The following is a 12,989-nucleotide window of genomic DNA, read 5'->3' as shown; positions in this document are numbered from 1 at the left end:
AAGGGCTTTGCTTTCCTCTCATCATCTTCAGGAAAGCAGACCTCGCAAGGCTATCTCAGGTGTCCCCCGAGGCCAACGCTCACTCCCCAGGCTCTGATCTCCAAATGCCCAGCTAAAAAGGAGCAGTGGATTTCACCTGCTGCCGAAGCCTCTGGCTGTGGAGCCTGTTGGGGACAAAGCACGCTCACATTTCTCAGATCGCGAAGGGCCCAAGGCGGGCAGCACTGCACACGTTTCCAGAGCCAGAGCTCCATGCCCAAGACATGCAGAAGGCATGAAAGTCAAAAGAACATATCCCACCCAATATCCTGGCCCCAGTGTTTAAAACCCGACCGACACAGATTACATGCTCTTTTGAAAAGAACTTCAGTTAAATCTACTGGTCAATTTTAGACTGCTGTGGAGGCAAAGTGAAAAAGATCTGCCTGGTATCACAGCCCAATACTTTGTCGTCAGTAATCTACAGAGGGTCAATGCACTAAGCCTGAGGCTGCACAGCTATAAATCGCCTTTGTGGAGTCATAAGCTAAGTCTGGGGCAGATGCTGGCCTTGGGGGAGCCAGCCTGGAGGAGGAGGTGCGATTGGTGTGCGCTTGGGCTGCATCCGTGGAAGCATCTGGAACACTGGGCCTTTGACCTGCAGCGACCACTCCAGTGAGAGCCCTGCAGTCCCAAGAGGTGGCCACCTCCTCGGAGCCCCCAGCCGCTGTCATCCCATCCTCTGCTCTTGATAACAGACTTTATGTGCACGTGTATTTATAGGCAAACATGTTGTCTATGCTCTGAGGGGGAGGAGCTGTGTTTTTTCCAGCTCTCTCTTTGGATGAAAAGTGCCTGAAGTCACAAGTGTCATTCCTCTACATCATCACACCAGTGGGGCACGCCACCATTTCCCCCCAGTCCTGCAAACTGAGAACCACGCCAGGATTAGCCCCAGGCTAAACCACCCAAAGCTTCTACCCAATATTCAAAGCCCCACCCAATACCATCTTTTCCCTCTCTTCTCTGAAATTCTACACCATTTATAGATAGATCAGAGCCCTCCACCTTGATTGCATATTAATTTTTACAGTTTCCTTTGTGTGAACTATTTCCTCGATCATTAAAATTATGAAATCCTCCAGGTAGACAATGTGCCGAATCTTCCTTGTCCCCACAGTGCCTGGCACAACGCTGGGTGTCTTGGCACTCAGGAAAGCGGGCCGTCAGCTTTGTGTCTGATCAACAGATAGAGATGGGGAGCCAGCCCCAGTCAATGTGGAGTGGGGAGCACGTCAGGAGAGGTCCAGCCAAGGACGCAGCTGCCGTACCCCAGGCTTGCACACTCTGGTGCAGAGCCAACATCAGAAAACACGGGATGAAGGCAGCCACGGTGACGGGAAGTTAGCGTTGCCATGGGGGTGGGGAGGGGGCTCACCAGGTGGACATACCTGAGCCTCACAGTGGGGGCCCCCTCCCTCCACTCACATCCTTTCCTGAGCCTCTGTGCTGGGGTCCCTCAGGTGCAACCTGGAGACCCCGCTTAGCTAGGGGTGGGTACAGCCCAGGGAGCTTAAACCTGGGAAGATCCAGGGCTCAACGTTAGATAGCAAAACACACCTCCTCAGCCTCTTTCCTCAGCCGTGTGGACGACTGGCCACATGTCTGACACATCGGAACCGTCCACCCATCCTCTGGCATCATACCCGATGGCAGAGCTTCCCAACAGGTGTGTGCCGGCATCCCAAACTCTGTTCACCTTTCAGTTCCTAAGCCTGTGACCTCCTTCTCTCCTCCCCTCCTCCCCTCCTGCCAGGGAACCTCAGTGTTACCGGGTGTTGACAACAGCCAGGAAGACCTCCACCGACACTCTCCGGAGTCACCGCTGTGCCCTCTCTCAACCCCAACCCAATACACATGTGCCCACTCACTAATAATCAAAGGCGTTGGAGAAATGTTTCTAAAATCATTACCCTCCATTTAAACACTCAAAGCCTGACATGCTGCGCAGCGTAGAGAATCGTCATGAGACAATCGCTGCAAATTGGCACAGCAAGTTCTTCATTTCCAGGCCATCCTGTGTCAATAAGATATTAGCTGCATCGCAGCTGCAAATGTCTGCATCAGCTCCACTGGTTCATTTACCACAGCCCTATTTTAACCCACGAACGTAAAAGCTTTCCGAGACCCACACACACCTTCATGCCTTCCAAAACAGTGAGTCCTGCTCGGCTTCCAGCCCCACCTTCAGCCACACCGTGACTACTAAGGCCGTGCTGAGCTCGCCTTCTTCCTTACCATCAGTAGACTTTTTTTTTTTTATTTATTTTTTGAGACAGGGTCTGGCTCTGTCACCCAGACTGGAGTGCAGTGGTGCCATCTCAGCTCACTGCAACCTCCACTTCCCGGGCTCTAGCGATCCTCCCATCTCAGCCTCCCAAGTAGCTGGGACCACAGGCACGCGCCACCAAGCCTGGCTAATTTTTGTATTTTTGTAGAGACGGGGTCTCACTATGTTGCCCAGTTTGGTCTCAAACTCCTGGCCTAAAGCCTAAATCCTCCCGCCTCGGCCTCCCAAAGTGCTGGGATTACAGGCCTGAGCCACCACGCCCGGCCCCAGTGGCTATTTCTGTAACTGGTGGGCAGCTGCTTCCTCCTCCTTCGCACTTGTGGATCTGGTGTGCAAGGAGAGAGACGCTGGAGACTGTGAGAGATCACAGGCTCTGGGAGAGGGAGGCTTGGCCTCACAGCAGGGAGCTGGGCAGCGGCCTGACGCCACAGTCGTGGTCCAGGGCATTCGGGGACCCACTTCTCAGCACGGTCCTAACAGCTGAGGGCTGCTGGATTCGCGGCCAACAGACGGGTACAGCGCCCAGGGTCTGCGTCTGGGTTCTTGTTTCCAAAGAGCGCAGAGGGGCTTATGGGCACGTTTACTCCAAAGGCAAAATCACAAAATCCTTCGCTCTCTCAGCCAAATCCCACGTGGTTCATTGCTACTGCACGTAATGAAAAGATTTTAACATCACTTAAAAGGGCTGCTGCAGGCCGCTTTTGCTCCATTCCTTCAGATTTCAACCCAAGGGACCTCTGAGAATGAACAGCCGTGCATGGGTTCAGGACTTTAAACCCCCAGCGCTCTGCAGGCAAAGGGCGGAGCGCGGCTGCGGCCCCGACGCGGGCAGGAGTGGGGGGCGCGCGCCCTCTGGCGTCCGCCTCGGGGACGCGCGGGCCTGGAAACTACGGCCCAGGTCAGAGGCGCCCACCGAGGGCCGGGGCGAAGGGGGAGCGCCCCAGCCTGCAACCCCCGCCCTCCAGAACCTTGGGGGGCAGAGCACAGAGCAGAAGGCACCCGGCACCCAGAGGGGTCCGGGCCAAGCATCCCCGCGTCCCCTCACCGCGCCTGCCACCAACCTTGACCTCAAGTCACAGCCTCCATTTGGAGGCCTGGAAACCGGGTTAAGAAAGCTGCTGAGGTTCACCCAATTCAGAATCCACATCGCTCTCCGACTCTTCCGGCAGGTTTCACAAGCACAGCTGTGAACGAGTAATGAGGAGAGCGCATGGAAGGCGGAGCGGGGGTTAGGAGGGCAGGATGCGGGCACCGGGCCGGGTGGGCACACTGACAAGGGAGAGGAACCCTGAGCTCTCGGTGAGATCCAGGGCGCTCGGTGAGATGCAGGGCGCTAGGTGAGATGCAGGATGCTCGGTGAGGTGCAGGGTGCTCGGTGAGGTGCAGAGTGCTCGGGGAGATGCAGGGCGCTCGGGGAGGTCCAGGGTGCTAGGTGAGGTGCGGGGCGTTCAGGGAGGTTCAGGGTGCTCGGGGAGGTGCAGGGTGCCCTGGGAGGTGCAGGGTGCCCTGGGAGGTCCAGGGCACTTGGGGAAGTGCAGGGCGCTCGGGGAGGTGCAGGGCGCTCGGGGAGGCCATGTAGGGAGGAGTTGAGTTCTGTAAGGGGGAGTCATGTTCATATATTTATCATCACTCATAAAACCGTTAAACTGCAAACTGAAGATTAACCTACCCAATCAGTAATTCATACAATTCCACAACACACACATTTTCTTTTTCTTTTTTTTTTTTTTTTTTTTTTTTTTTTGAGACAGGGTTTGGCTCTGTCACCCAGGCTGGAGTGCAATGGTACCATCTTGGCTCACTGTAGCCTCAATGTCCTGGGCTCAAGCAATCCTCCCACCTCAGCCTTCCCAGTAGCTGGAACTACAGGTGCACACCACCATACCCAGCTAATTTTTTGTATTTTTTGGTAGAAATGTGGTCTCTCTAGGTTGCCAGCCTGGTCTTAAACACCTGGACTCAAGTGATCCATCTGCCTCGCCCTCTCAAAGTGCTAGGATTACAGATGTGAGCGACCACACCCGGCCACACATTTTCCTCCAAAAAATTAGGTTAAATCCATTAATGTCGTCTACCTTTGCAAGTATGGTGGCCAGATTAAACAAAGAAAAATACAAGACACACACGTCGTTTTTAATTTCAGATAAACAATGAATAATGTCTTAGTATAAGTATGTCCCATGCAATATTTGTGCTATAAATATCATATGGGACACGCTTATGCTAAAAAATGACGTGTTGTTCATCAGAAATCTAAGTTTCTGCTGGGCGTCCTTTTATCTGCAGTTCTATTTGCAGGCTGGCTCGGGCAGTGTTCTGGGCTCAGGAGTGGCTTTAGGGTGCTCTACATGAGGACTAGAATGTGGCAGGAGTGTGGGAAAGGGGTAGCAAACAGTGAGAGAAACAGGAGGAGTACCCAAGAGAGTAACGAGTCACCCCTTCAGAGCCAGTCTACATATTTGACCAGTGCAGGTAGGAAGAAATTACTTTTCTATTCATAAACATGTAACAACTCTTTGTATTCCAAATAAAACATGCATTAAGTACCCTGAATGTAATATATCATTTTTCCCTATTTGGAGTTGCTGGTGATGAATTATTTTAAAGGTAGTCTCTGAGATGTGTGAGGCTATTGCTTTGTTCATCATGGACAAACAAACATGGGGAGACCAGAGGCACCTGGCCCTGTGTTTCAGATTATTCACATATGGTCTCAACGTATATCAGTGCCTTAGGCAGCTTCCTGGCAAGCCCATCCCTTAATCCACTATGAACAACATCTCATTACACAGAGAGGAGCTTATATCTTTGCCTGGACAATGTATTGAATAATATAAATATGGCACATTAGTTGAGCTGGTTTTGCCGAGCTTTTTCTTTCTTTCTTTCTTTCTTTAACTATTTTTATATCTCTCTATGCCTCACTTTCCGCATCTGTAAAAACAGGGCATCCACAGAGTTTGTGAGAAGTAGAGTCACTGATACATGTGAGGCACGTAGATCCACACCCAGCACAGTAAGCATTCAAACCAGCCGGTATCATTATTATTATTTAAAAACAATGCAAGACAGCATCCAGGGGAAGATAATCTTTCCAAGTTTAAGCAGAGTTCTCATGTTATTCCCCTTTTCCAAGCTGGCTTGGTCAACATCCAAAAACCTCCACCCCAAGATTCCTGGTCCAGCCAGGGGGGAAAGTCTGCAGGCAGCTTTTACTAAGTGACTTCTATCATTTGAAACTTCACAGGTCCGGGCTGTGGTGGCAAACAGACTATTTTGTTTTGGTTCGACAGGCATCGGCATTTGTGAAGATTTTAAATATGAACACTGTACTCGTTTGCTAGTGCTGTTGTAACAAAGAGCCACAGACAGGGTGCCAGAAACAAGAGCGGCTTCTTTCCTCGCAGTTCTGGAGGCTGGAAGTCAGAAATCAAGGTGTCGGCAGGGTGGGTTTCTCCCCGGGGCCTCTCTTCTTGGCTTGTAGATGGCCGTCTTCTCCCTGTGTCTTCATGTGGTCGTCTGTGCTGCATGTCTGTGTCCCAATCTCCCCTGGTCATAGGAACACCAGTCCCACCAGGTTAGGGCCCACCCTGATGACCTCACTTTAACTTCATTACCCTTCATTACTCTTGAAAGACCCTATTTCCAAAAGCAGTCACATTCTGAGGTCCTGGGGATGAGGATGCAACACATGGATCTGGGAGGCACCATTCAGCCCACAGAGGTGCCTTTGCATGCCTCAGTGCACTGTGGGGGTGCTACGGGGACATGCTGTGGGGACACTGTGGGGACGTGCTGTGGGGATGCTGTGGGGATGCACTGTGGAGGCAAGCTGTGGGGACGTGCTGTGGGGACACTGTGGGGATGCTGTGGGGGTGTGCTGTGGGGACGTGCTATGGGGACACTGTGGGGACACGCTGTGGGGACGCCCTGTGGAGGCGCTGTGGGACAAACTGTGGGGATGTGCTGTGGGGACAGGCTGTGGGTACGCTGTGTGGTCGCCCGTAGGGACACCGTGGGGATGCACTGTGAGGACGCTGTGGGGACAGGCTGTGGGGGCACTGTGGGGATAATGTGGGGATGGGCTGTGGGGACACCCGATGGGGATGCTGTGGGGACGCCCAGTGGGCACGCTGTGGGGACGCGCTGGGGCTGCTGTGGGGATGTGCTCTGGGGGCGCTGTGGGGATGCCATGTGGGAAAGCACTGTGTGGGCGCTGTGGGGACGCCCAGTGGGGACGCTGTGGCCCTGAGTTCGCACAGACCCCACCCATTTAAATCCTGCCTCCTGCACTCGCTTGCTGCTCAGTCATATGCGAGTCAGCCTGTTTCCTCATGTATAAAAGGACGATGAGAATATTAAGCCCAGGCTGGGCCAGGTGGCTCACGCCTGTAATCCCAGCACTTTGGGGGGCTGAGGCGGGTGGATCACCTGAGGTCAGGAGTTCAAGACCAGCCTGGCCAACATGGTGAAACCCCGTCTCTACTAAATTGCAAAAATTAGCCAGGCGTGGTGGTGCGCGCCTGTAATCCCAGCTACTTGGGAGGCTGACGCAGGAGAATCACTTGAATCCAGAGGGCAGGGCTTATAGCAAGCCAAGATCATGCCACTGCACTCCAGCTTGGGTGACAGAGTGAAACTCCGTCTCAAAAAAAAAAATAAAAAATAAAAGAATACTAAGTCCACAGGTGGATCTGTAGATTATATGACCAAACCTCCACGAAGCAGCCAGCTTGGTGCCTGGCACACAGCAAGGATGCAGAGATGCAAGCCCTGGTCTCTGCCGTCTTGAGGAATTGTACTTCTGTCGCAGGGGTAATGAACTGCTGAGAATCCACCTGCTGCAGTCTGTATGCTTGTGTCTCCCTCAAAATTCACATCTTCAAGCCCTCATCCCCAGTACGATGGTATTTGGAGGTGGGGTCTTTGGGAGGTGATCAGAGTTAGATGAGGTTACAAGGGTGGGGACTCCCTGAAGAGATGAGTGTCCTTATAAAAACAGAAACACAAGAGGTCCTTCTCCCTCCCACCCTCCCACCAGGCCCTGAGTGCACCCACCGAGGAAAGGCCATGTGAGGACATAATGAGAAGACAGCCTTGTGCAAGCCAGGAAGAGATCTGGTTTCCAAATGCCACGGTCCAGATCTGCCCGGTTTACAGCATTCAGCAGCTCAACCTTCATAATGCATGAAGACACAACCTTCATAATGCAATTTCCCTAACTCAGTGGTTGTCAACTCTGGAGCACCTTACAATCACTCTGCTAATCTTAAAAGATGGTGCCCAGGCCAGGCACAGTGGCTCACGCCTGTAATCCCAGCACTTTGGGAGGCAGAGGTGGGAGGATCATCTGACGTCAGGAGTTCAAAACCAGCCTGGCCAACATGGCGAAACCCCATCTCTACTAAAAATTAAAAAATTAGCCAGGCATGGTGGTGGGCACCTGTAATGCCAGCTACTCGGGAGGCTGAGGCAGGAGAATCACTTGAACCCAGGAGGCGGAGGTTGCAGTGAGCCAACATCGCATGATTGCACTCCACCCTGGGCAACAGAGCAAGACTCCATCTCAAAAAAAAAAAAAAAAAAACATAGTGCCCAAGCCTCAAAAACAGACATCCAGGCCTATGGAAGAGAATAGAGAGCCCGGAAATAAATCCACACAGTCACAGTCAGATGGTCTTTGACAAGACCAGGAACACACGCTGGGGGAAAGGACAGGCTCTTCTACAAAGGGTGTTGGGAAAACGAGAGCCACATGATGAATAATGAAACTCACCTCCCTCCATCTACAAAAATCAACTCAAAATGGATTAAAGACTTCAATGTGAGACCTGAAACTAGACATCTACTAGAAGAAAACAGTGAAAAAAACTCCATGGCATTGGTCTGGGCAATGATTTCTTGAATATGACCCCAAAAGTAAAGGAAACAAAAACAAAATAAAAATTTAAAAGACACAAAAATCACGCAGAAGCTAGCAGCTAACAATCAAAAAAGCTCCTGACGTATGAGGTGTCAGACATCCAAGACCATTGTCCACTTCTCCAGTGCCAGGTCCTCCTTTGTTTCCAGGCCCCTCGGTCCTTCACTTCCTTCCAGGCCTGCAGTGGCCCTGCTCATACTTCCCAGCAGTCAGCAGCCACCGTCACAAGGTCAGGCGTGTCCCAGGAGCATCAGAGCAATGCAGACCCAACGCAGGACCGCCAGCCCTTTGACGCAGCATGGGGTGGGGCGGGATGGAGGGCTGGATGGACAGAGTAGGGCCCCGGCCCAGCGGGGCACCCTCGGTGGCAAGGGCTGCAGATCCTACGTTGCCTTTCTTGGCACATTCTCCAAGATATTTCAACGATGACTACTTGGGTTCAAAAGTGAGCAAGCCAATTCCCCCAGTGCCCGAAGGCGCTGGCATCTGAGCCTGCTGATTGACACTGGCTTCACCTGCACTAGGAATTCCCTGATCTCCTGTCTTTAATAAGCGATTCTCGAAAGGTCTTCATTACTTCCTAATTGTCGGAATTCATTTGCTTCATTTTTCTGGTTAAGAAACATTTAAAAAATTAATCTCCAACCTTGGGCTGCCGTTAATTTAAAAGCTCCTCCACACTTATTAATGACATCATCTGTTCTATCAATCTTACCCCACAACCACCAGTGCCACCCGTGTGCACGCACACACTGACACACACACACACACACACACACACACACACACACACTGATTTCAAAGTCCTTCCTTTGCTCTCTCTTTCTGGTTAAAAATTTGATTCACCAAGCACAGTGGCTGATGCCTGTAATCCCAGCTCTTTGGGAGGCCAAGGTGCGCAGATCACCTGAGGTTGGGAGTTCAAGGCCAGCCTGACCAACGTGGAGAAACCCCATCTCCACAAAAAATACAAAACTAGCCAGGCATGGTGGCGCATGCCTGTAATCCCAGCTACTCGGGAGGCTGAGGCAGGAGAATCACTTGAACCCGGGAGGCAAAGGCTGCGGTGGGCTGAGATCACGCCACTGCACTCCAGCCTGGACAACAAGAGCAAAACTCCATCTCAAAAAAAAAAAAAAAATTGATTCTTTCATCCATCCCATAACCACTGTCACTGTAATATCTACTTGACTTTTATTTTTTAGCTATTTATTTTTATATATTTAGGAGGTAGGAGTGCAAGCTTCTTGCTTGTCTATATTGCATAGTAGTGGAATCTGGGCTTTTAGTAGATCCATCTCTCAAAGAGTGAACATTGAGATTTTAGAGGTCACTCTGTGAACACCAGAATTGAAAAAGGGCAGGCGGGCACACCCTCTCTTTCAAAGAACCCCAGGCTGCTCTGGGATCGAGTTCACAGGTGGCTGCAGGTCCACTCCCAGCTTCCGACCTCCCTGCAAGGGGTGCCGTCCTTGCCTCTCTCTCTCTACAGTTCCTGGAAAGCTGTCATGATGGCGAGGTCGTGGGAAACTAGTCGGACTCCACCCCGCCTCGGCCCGCTTACCGCACCCTGGCCTCCAGGAGCTCCCACTGAGGGTGTGGAAAGAAATGCTCCGCCCAGATCTCTGCTGCTCTGTGTCTCATCCCTCCTGATATCCACCGTAACACTAAACACAGCACTTGGGCATCAGAAGCCCACAAATATTTGTTGAAAAATTAATTAGACGGTACCTAACATGAGAATGTCCATTTGTTTTATTAGTCAACATCCACGAAGAATATCCACTAGAATTGGAACAGCAAGCACGTTTCCTCTCAAGTGCTGACTCCAATCATCACGGTCCCCCCAACTTGCAGATGATACTGAAGCTGCATCTGGCACCAGAAGGAAAGAGCATCGGCAGCGGCTACAACCCATCGCCACCCTGGGCCCGAGAGAGCAGTTGGTGGTGCGGGCAGTGTGCCAGTCAGGGTTCTCTTGAGAAATGGAACCAATAGGAGACAGAGAGAAAAAAAAATATACACACAGATTTAGACATAGATGGAGAGGGAGAGATGCTAAGGAATTGACTCACGGCATTGCGGGGGCTGGCAGGACTGGACAGCAGACTGGAAACTCAGGTAAGAGCTGATGGGCCAGGCACGGTGGCTCATGCCCGTAATCTCAGCACTTTGCAAGGCTGAGGTGGGAGGATTGCTTGAGGCCGGGAGTTCGAGACCAGCCAGGTCAACATACAAGACCTTGTCTCTACAAAAAACTTACAATTAGCTGGGTGTGATAGCTTGCACCTATATAATCCTAGCTACTCGGGAGGCTGAAGCAGGAGGATCACTTGAGCTGAGATCAGGCCACTGCACTCCAGCCCGGATGGTGGTGTAAGACCCTGTCTCAAAAAAATGTTGAAAAAAAGAACTGATGATGACTGATGTTTCAGCATCCAGTCCAAAATCTGTAGGGCAGCCCAGCAGGCTGGAAACTCAGGCAGGACTTCGATGTTAATCTTCAGACAGGATCCCTTCTTCCCCAGGAGCCCTCAGTTTTGGCTCTTATGGCCTTCAGCTGATTGGGTGAGGCCCACCCATATACGGGAGGGTAATTTCCTTTACTTAAAGTCAACTGAGTGTAAACATTAATCATATCTACAAAATATGTTCACAGCCAGGCATGGTGGCTCATGCCTGTAATCCTAGAATTTTAGGAGGCCAAGACGGGAGGATCACTTGAGCCAAGGAGTTCAAGAACAGCCTGGGCAACACAGTAAGACCCCATCTCTACAAAAAATAAAAAATCAAAAAATGTGTTGGGCATGGTGGCACATGAATGTGGTCCCAGCCACTCAGGAGGCTGAGGTAAGATCACTCGAGCCTGGGAGGTCAAGGCTGCAGTGAGCCATAATTGTGTAGCGCACTCCAGTCTGGGTAACCGAGTGAGACCCTGTCTCAAAAAAAAAAAAAAACCAAATATATATATATTTTGGTTTATATATAAACCAAATACATAAATATATTTATATAAATATATATTTATAATATATGTATTATATATCTATATTATATATATTTATAATATATGTATTATATATCTATATTATATATATTTATAATATATGTATTATATATCTATATTATATATATTTATAATATATGTATTATATATCTATATTATATATATTCATAATATATGTATTATATATCTATATATGATAATATATATTATATAAGTATAAACCAAATATATAAATATATATATATATTCACGACATCTGGAGTAACATTTGACCACACACCTGCACAGCCTAGCCTAGCCTGGCCAGGTTGACACCTAACATTAACCATCACAGGTACCATTAATTTTCCATCCCTAGTGTAGAAGTGCCTCCTCATCTAATCTGCTGTACCTCTGAGGAACCCTTCAGACAGTGCTGATGACATCCATCCAACAGGTTCTCAATGACACCACCTCTTCACGGAATATGGAATTCATAAAGCTGATGCTTGATTGTAGAATTTAGAAGCCTTGAGGACTTTGAGAATTCAATCAGAAAGTTCCTTGAAGCCCAAAGACACATCAGTGTGCATGAGTTTATCCCGATTTCCCGGGAAGCCTCCCATTCACAGCCTTCAAAGTCAACAGTTTCCTCCCCCATAACAGAAAAAGGGGAAGCGGGAGAGAAATTTAAAGAAAAAGGGGAAATTCATATCCAATGGGCACTAATGGTTTAATGTGCCAAAATGAATTGATTTTCTGTTAAAAGCCAAAAGGCAGCAGTTAGACTCAGCACGCCTTCCCTTGCTTATGGTCGTGTGCGTGGTAATGTATGGATGCAACACAAGTTAATTGGTTTTGTTGGGACTCACCAAAGAAAAAATTGCAGAATCCAATTGCTACTACTAATTAGAATTTCCAAGCGCACCATTGTAAAAACCGATTATCCACTTCCTCGGTCATTTTCTAATCTTCTTGATCAAATTTATGCACTCAGTCTCTCTAGTAAACCCCCGAATACAGCCTTCCATCAAATCTGTATAATTAGTGCACCCTGCAGATAGCCGCAGATTTTCTGCCCTGGCTAACAGTTGGGAACCAGTGAACGTCTCTGTTTGCTCACCTTTCTCTCTCCAACCTGGGAGAGCCCCAGTTAAGTCTCACACCCTCCATAAGACTTTGTCCAATCATGGAGACCACATGGCCTCACATGGTTTTGGCCCTGGAGCCCCTCCCCATAGCCTCGTTTGACATTGGTATGTTGTGTTGTTTAGCACGTCGTGACGATAACTTCTCCCTGCATCAGAAATGCACATTTTTAGAATAGCGGCTGTGTCTTCTATCCCACTATTTTGGTCAACAAATGCTCCAAAAATGATGCCCCTTTAGACGGGCATCTGCCACACTCTAAAAATCGTCATAACAAAAGTCATTTGGCAGATACCTGACAAAGCACTTCTCCGTATTATTATCCTCTTGGGTGGTCCCAATACCCCTGTGCAGTCGATGTCTCTGTCACACGTGTCCGTGTGAAGAGACCACCAAACAGGCTTTGTGTGAGGAACAAGGCTGTTTATTTCACCTGGGTGCAGGCGGGCTGAGTCCTAAAAGAGAGTCAGCGAAGGGAGATACCGGTGGGGCTGTTTTATAGGATTTGGGTAGGTAGTGGAAAATTACAGTCAAAGGGGGTTGTTCTCTGGTGGGCAGGGACGGGGGTCACAAGGTGCTCAGTGGGGGAGCTTCTGAGCCAG

At 49.8% G+C, this 12,989-nt stretch overlaps 3 annotated features.

The window, feature by feature from the left end:
- Window positions 2,183–2,749: an enhancer, noted in NCBI's record as "H3K4me1 hESC enhancer chr7:152592088-152592654 (GRCh37/hg19 assembly coordinates)". NCBI's record gives its function as "activates a minimal SCP1, AML or CMV promoter by ChIP-STARR-seq in naive H9 embryonic stem cells {active_cell/tissue: H9 hESC(naive)}" and the evidence as "EXISTENCE:reporter gene assay evidence [ECO:0000049][PMID:30033119]".
- Window positions 2,750–3,317: an enhancer, noted in NCBI's record as "H3K4me1 hESC enhancer chr7:152591520-152592087 (GRCh37/hg19 assembly coordinates)". NCBI's record gives its function as "activates a minimal SCP1, AML or CMV promoter by ChIP-STARR-seq in naive H9 embryonic stem cells {active_cell/tissue: H9 hESC(naive)}" and the evidence as "EXISTENCE:reporter gene assay evidence [ECO:0000049][PMID:30033119]".
- Window positions 3,099–3,258: a silencer, noted in NCBI's record as "silent region_18838". NCBI's record gives its function as "represses an Ori minimal core promoter by ATAC-STARR-seq in GM12878 lymphoblastoid cells {active_cell/tissue: GM12878}" and the evidence as "EXISTENCE:reporter gene assay evidence [ECO:0000049][PMID:35858748]".

The sequence above is a fragment of the Homo sapiens genome, chromosome 7, assembly GCF_000001405.40.
Source record: "Homo sapiens chromosome 7, GRCh38.p14 Primary Assembly".
In the NCBI taxonomy this organism is placed as follows: Eukaryota; Metazoa; Chordata; class Mammalia; order Primates; family Hominidae; genus Homo; species Homo sapiens.
The sequence above is the reverse complement of the archived record's forward strand: the minus strand, read 5'-3'. Positions and strand labels throughout refer to the sequence as shown.